Genomic DNA, 7,359 nt, shown 5'->3' with positions numbered 1-7,359 from the left:
CAGAAGAAAGTAATAAAGATAACATTAGAAATCAATGATATTGAAAACAAAAATACAATGTAGAAAGCAGATGCACAAAACTGAAAAGTAGAGAAAATTATGAAATAAGAAGTTGGTTCTTTAAGATGATCAGTACAATTTATATTTCCCTATCAAGGCTGACAAAGAAAACAAGAGAAAAGACACAAATTATGAATATGCATAATAAAGCAAGGTACATCATTACAGACCCTGATGACAGCAAAAGTATAATAAGTGAATATTATGGAAAATTCTGCACATGTAAACTTGATAAATTAGATAAAATATAACAATTCATTGAAAAGTAAAGCTACCACAACTCTTTCAATAAGAAACCAATCATTTGAATAGCCCTATAACTATTAAAGAAGAGCTCATAATTTAAAACCTTCTAAAAACAAATTACAAGGCCTAGATGCCTTCACTGGTGAATTCTACTGAAAGTTAAAAAAAAAAACACACACACACTAATTTTACACAAAATCGAAGAGGAAGCAATACTTCCCGCTTATCTTACAAAGCCAACCAGGATTATCTTGATACCAAAAACCAGACAATGACAGTATAAAAAATGAAACCTACCAACTAATGTCCCTCAGGAATATAGATTCAAAAATTATTTACTTATTTATTTTAAGTTCTGGGGTACATATGCAGGATGTGCAGGTTCATTACATTGGTAAACATGTGCCATGGTGATATGCTGCTCCTATAAACCCATTGCATAGTTATTAAGTCCAGCAAGCATCAGCTATTTTTCCTGATGCTCTTCTTCCTCTCACCCTGCCACAGGCACAAGTGCATGTTGTTCCCTCCCTGTATCTATATGTTCACATTGTTCAGCTCCCACTTATAAGTGAGAATACATGGTGTCTGATTTTCTGTCCTGTGTTAGTTTGCTGAGGATAATGGCTTCCATCTCCATCCATGTCCCTCCAAAGGACAGGAATTCATTCCTTTTTATGGCTGCATAGTATTCCATGATGTATATGTACCACATTTTCTTTATCCGGTCTATCGTTCTTGGGCATTTGGATTGATTCCATGTCTTTGCTATTGTGAATAGTGCTGCAGTGAACATATGCATGCATGTATCTTTATAATAGAATGATTTGCATTCCTTTAGGTATATACTCAGTAATGGGATTGCTGGGTCAAATGGTATTTCTGGTTCTAGGTCTTTGAGGAATCACCACACTGTCTTCCACAATGGTTGAACTAATTTACATTGCTACCAACAGTATAAAAGCATTGCTATTTCTCTGCAGCCTCACCAGCATCTCTTGTTTCTTGGCTTTTTAATAATTGCCATTCTGACTGGTATGGTATCTCATTGTGGTTTTGACTTGCATTTCTCTAATGATGAGTGATGTTGAGCTTTTTTTCATGTTCGTCGGCCACACAAATGTCTTCTTTTGAGAAGTGTCTGTTCATGCCCTTTGTCCACTTTTTAATGGAGTTGTTTTTCCTTATAAATATGTTTAAGTTTATCATAGATTCTGGATATTAGGCTTTTATTAGATGGATAGATTGCAAATTTTTTCTTTCATTCTGTAGGTTGTCTGTTCAGTCTGATGACAGTTTCTTTTTTGCAAAAACTCTTAACAAAATATTAGCAAGTAGAATTTCACGATATATTTAAAAAAACTAAAAACATAGCTAAGTGAGGCTCATTCCAGGGATGGAAGGTATATTCAATACTTTTGAAAATCAGTTAATGTAGTTAATGTTAACAACTACAGAAGAGAAATCAGATGATTAAATCAAAGGATGCAGAAGGAGCGTTTTCCTAATGAATAATCATTCATTATTTTTTTAAGTTTCTAAGTTTCAGAAAACTAGAAATAGAGGAGAATTTCTCTACTGGCTAAAGAGCATCAACAAAAACCTATGGCAAACATTATACCTAAATGATGAAGGACTGAATACTTTGCCCCTAAGACTACAAAAAAGCAAAGGATGTCCACCCTCACCACTGCTATTCAACATGGTACTGGAAACTCTAGCTAGTGAAATAAGGCAAGAAAGAGATAAAAGGCATATAGACTAGAAATGATGAAACAAAACTGATTTTATTTGCACATGACAGTATGGTCTACAGAGAAAATCCCAAGTCATCTGTAAAAACTATTAAAACTAATATGTGATTTCAGCAATGTCACATGATATAAAATCAACATACAAAAATTAATTGTATTGCTACATACTAGCAATGAAATTGTGAAAATTAAAATTGCAATACTGCTTACAATTACTCAAAGATGATAAAATACTCAGGTGTCAATCTAACAAAATATGCAAAGAAATTATGTGCTAAAACTATAAAATTCTAATTAAAGACATAAAAATACCTAAATAAATGAAGAGACATATGACGTTCATGAATTGGAAACCTTAACATAGTGAATTGTCAAATCTCCTCAAATTGACACACCATTTTAATGTAATTCCTATCATAATTCAAGCAAGATTTTTTGTTGACATAGAGGTGATTATTCCAAAATTTATATGGAACTACAAAGGCACTAGAATAGCTAAAATAGTTCTGAAAGAGAAGAATAAAGTTGGAGAAAGTGCTTTTCAAATTTTCAAGATTTATCAAGGTACACTAACCAAAACTGTGTGGTATTGATGGAGTATAATGGAATAAAGATCAATGAAACTGAATAGAGAATTTAAAAGTAGGTTTTCACAAGTATGGCCAACTAATTTTTGATGAAGGTAAAAAGAATTCAATGGAGGAAGAATAGTCTTTGCAATAAATGGTGCTGGAGCAATTGAACATCTATAGGTTAAAAACTAAACCTTGATTTAAACCTTATAACCTACTATAATTAACTTAAAATGGATCATAAATTTAAATATTAATTATAAAACTACAAATCTTTTAAAAGGTAATGTAGGAAAAATCTTCAAGATTTACAGCATGGTGAAGCATTCTTAGACATGACACCAAATGCATGATCCATAAAAGAGAAAATAGTTTGACTTTATCAAAATCAAAATTATCTTTTCGGTGAAAGATCCTGTAAAGAAGATAAAAAGGAAAGCTACAGACTGGGTGAAAATGTGTGAAAGCCACATATTTGACAAAGGCAATCATATCAAGAATATAATAGGAACTCTCAAAACACAATGGCAAAAAAAAAAAAAAAAAAAAACAAACAAGCCCAATCCAGGGAGAAAATGGGCAAGAAATATGAAGGTATCTGTCATTGAGGGGAGTATAAGGATGGCAGATAAGCATATGAAAAGATGATCTGCATCTTTAGAACATCTTCTGAACAATTGCCATTAGACAAATGCAAACCAAGACCATGATATTATTACACACCTATTAAAACACATAAAATTAAAAAGGGTGATAATACCAAGTGCTGATAAGGATATAGAGAAACAGAATGTTTCCTACATGGCTGGTAGGAATGTAAAATGATGCAGTAACTCTAGATAAAAAATTGGCTTTTTAAAAATAACACCAAACATGCAATTACCATTTGACTCAGCAGTTGCACTCATGGGTATTTATTCTTGAGAAAGGAAAACTTATTTTGGCACAAAAATCTGAACAAGATTGTCCACAGCAGCTTTTTCTGTAATAGTCCAAACTGAGAAACAGCTCAAAAGTCCTTCAGTTTAGTCTGTAATAGCCCAAACTAAGAAACATCCCCCAAAGTCCTTTGATTACATTAAAAATAAATGAGAAATCTGAATTGTTAAACAAAATGTGGTATTTTGTTTACCATAGTTTACCAAGCATACCATGAAATACTACTTAGGAATACAAAGGTGAAGTAATTATGTATACATGCATCAACTTGGACAGATCTCAGGAGCCTTACGCTGAGGTTAAAAAGTAAATCTCAAAAGTCACACACTATATAATTCTATGTATATAACATTCTCACAATGACAAAATTATGGATATGGGAAACATTAGTTGTTGCCAGGGTTTAGAGATAGTGTATGTTGGTGGGTTGGGTGAAGGAATGTGACTATTAAAAAGCAGCATAGAAAGATCTCTGTGGTGATGGAATAGTTCTCTATCTTAACTGCAGTGATGATTGCACAAATTCACATGTGATAAAGTAGCAGAACTATATACATACATGGTAGATATGTCAGATCCTGTGTTTGGCGTTGTACCATAATTATGTAAGAATGTAAGCACTGGGAAAAATCATTGAATGAAAGGTACACAGGATCACTCTATAGTAAGTTTTCAACTTCCTGTGAATTTGTAATTATTTCAAAACAAAAAGCCTAAAACAGGTGCTATTGGCTCATGAACAGTAGGATGGATTCATCACATGTTCTAATGCAGGATATACATTTTCCCTCTGCTTACAGACAATGTATCACGGATGTATGGATTTGTGAGCTCATTGTGACTTGATCTAAATGGGCTTCGACCTTCACATTTCAGTGCTTCAGAGCTGTGGCCAGATGCCCATTCAGATTACCCAGCCTTTGGGTCTACCCAGAAGATACCTGTAGGAGCAGAACTGCTGTCAACTAATAACTCCAGACTTCCTGGAGCCGCTGTGTATTCCATCACCTTTTGGTTTTAGCTGGGGTACAACTCAGATTTCTCATTTATCTTTAATGTAATGCATAGTTATTGAGCACCGACTGGGCCAAGCACTGTCAAGGCCCCAAGTGCCCAATGGCCCCTTGCAGATGGAATAAGTAGATTAATGCGGGACCTTGACACTGACTCTCTTCTGTCTCAGATTTGGTATTTTCCTATTTTACTGGAATTTGGCCAGACTCTAACCAGTGTCTCCTAAAACAAAACACAATAAAATAAATGAGTTAACTGAATCTGCTCAAAGATCTAAAATAAGCCAAAACTCCAAAGATGTTGGTGTAGATTGAGTGCAGGCAACATTCCTCATGAAAGATAAAATAAAACCACAAAAATGTGCATATCTTTTGACCTAATAAATGTTCATAAAAATCTTTCCTATGGAAACACTTCAAAATATGGGATCAAGGTATATGCAAGATGTTCATTATTAGCATTAAAATGTAACATGCAAACTACCTCCAAAGAGAACTCGCTTTAGGCTGTTCTTGCATTGTTATAAAGAAATACATGAGGCCAGGTTCAGAGGCATATGCCTATAATCCCAGCACTTTGAGAGGCCAAGGAGGGTGGATCACATGAGGCTAGGAGTTCAAGACCAGCTTAGTCAACATGATGAAACCTCATCTCTACAAAAAAATACAAAAATTAGACGGGTGTGATGGTGAATACCTGTAATCCCAGCTCCTCGGGTGGCTGAAGCACGAGAATCGCTTGAACCCAGGAGGCAGAGGTTGCAGTGAGCCAAGATCATGCCAGGCACTCCAGCCTGGGTGACAGAGCCAAACTGTCGCAAACAAAAAAATTCAGTAAAATTTTGAATTATTATCTTACCCAACTGACATAAAACTCATCTAGTAACAAATGTGTTATTTTTAATGTAAAAGAAAAATTGAAAATTATTATTATAGGTTGTATCAAAACAGGAATACGATGTATGTAAAATGCCTTCCAGGTTAATGTATCTGTCAGAGAGTCTGTTGCATGAATAAACAGAAAGTTAACAAAACAAGACTGTTCAAAACTAGCTAATAAAAAATCATGTTATTTTCTTTTAAAATGTAAACCTAAATTTATAGATAATGATATTGCTTGGCTTACAGTATAAGCTGAGTAAAAAGGTCAAACTGAGAGACAAGTTATGAACTGCACAGTTTGTAGATTCCTCTCCATCCCTGATTCTGTTACTCTGTTTGAGCTCTCACCAATTCTTGCCTGGACGCTGGAAATGGCCTTTACAGGGGTCTCATACCTCTGCGCTCAGCCATTCAAAGGCAACACAGACAGCGAATCCATTCACGTGGCTGATCTAAAATGCAATTCTGATCACTGCTCAATCGCAGCAGTGGTGCGTCGAGACTTGCTGAAACGACATGCTCTTTTCCAGGGCCCTGAGATCCTTCAGAATCTGCGTCTCCCGCGTCCCTGACACATTTCTTGCTCCTGCCTGTGCCTAGCATGCATGTCATGTCACAACAGGGACGTGCTTGGAGCTGTCCACACTCCATGCGTCCTCTACTTTTTATTTCACTCAAAGACTCTCCAGCTGGAATGCGCTTCGCCTGCCTGCCTCTCAGCCTCGGTCACAACCTCACAAAGCTCCCTGCCCTTCCCTACCAGGCAGGTTAACCACTCTCCTCGGATATCACCCGGAGAGTGTCATGTGGCTCTCCCCTTGTTTCCACATTACTTTACACTTTACAACTCTCTGGCCTCCTGTCCTTGAGGGCGGGGATTAAAATTCCACGTTTTAAAACTCTTTGGCCAGTGCGTGGTGTCTGGTCATAATTTTTAAAAAATGGTTTGAATAAACAAAGCAGTGATACACAATGAATGAGTGAGCTGGCTACACACAGGTGCTAGAACTTTTTCACCTGTCTTTATTTATTTCCAAATGATATGAGTCTGTTAAGATGCACCTCAGGTTGTCTATGCTCCCCAAGACTTTCTTAGACTCTCTTGGTCCATAGACGTGTAGCCCTTCTTTTCTGAATTGAGTTCCCACTTCGAGACTAGGCCACTTCAGCATCTTTCTGCAGAGCCAACTCGTACTTTCGGAATTGTATGAGCCAGTTCTTAAATGAGTGGGAGCTTAAAATTAGCCATGGTAAGAATATTGACACCATGGAAATTGGCAAACCCTACAAATGAGGGGTTTCGTTGTTGTTTTCGGAGAGCCAGCTGTGAAAGCTACAGTCACAGCACTCTGCATTTGTGTGTGTGTGTGCGTGTACACGCAGACATCTATAATTTTACTTTGTGTGTATTTTCTTACCCTAACAATATTGTAAGTCCTACATGACAGGGAGCCTATATTTTCTGTTTATATAAATAAAAATTATGTATTTACTTATTTATAGAACCTATCTCATCTACTCTGAAAATGTGTTGTTTGGATAAAATATGGACTTCAGAAATCTAAATGTCAAATAAAAACAAAAATAATGTGAGAGGAAGAGAAAAGCCATATAATGAACATCCAGATTCAGATAACTACTGTGACTAAGGATTAAACATTTGCTCTGAGCTTCATAGCAGCCAAAAGAAAAACTGGCATTTTTCATTTTACTTTATTATCTGTTACTAAACAGTGACTAAAAGGATAATGTACATTGACATTGAACAAAAGCATAATAAAAAGTGATTTTTAATTATGTCCTGGCCATGTATGCCATTTTATATATTAATTTTACTCAGTTTCACAACCACAGAGATAATTCTTATTATCGTTTTTGGACAAAGAAGGCACG

General features: G+C 35.7%; 1 annotated feature.

Annotated features, from left to right (window-relative positions):
- Positions 5,255–5,447: a silencer, noted in NCBI's record as "fragment chr2:7597838-7598030 (GRCh37/hg19 assembly coordinates)". NCBI's record gives its function as "represses an EF-1alpha promoter that drives an FKBP-Casp9 reporter gene in an ReSE screen in HepG2 liver carcinoma cells {active_cell/tissue: HepG2}" and the evidence as "EXISTENCE:reporter gene assay evidence [ECO:0000049][PMID:32094911]".

This window comes from Homo sapiens, chromosome 2 (genome assembly GCF_000001405.40).
Source record: "Homo sapiens chromosome 2, GRCh38.p14 Primary Assembly".
Classification (NCBI taxonomy): Eukaryota; Metazoa; Chordata; class Mammalia; order Primates; family Hominidae; genus Homo; species Homo sapiens.
The sequence above is the reverse complement of the archived record's forward strand: the minus strand, read 5'-3'. Positions and strand labels throughout refer to the sequence as shown.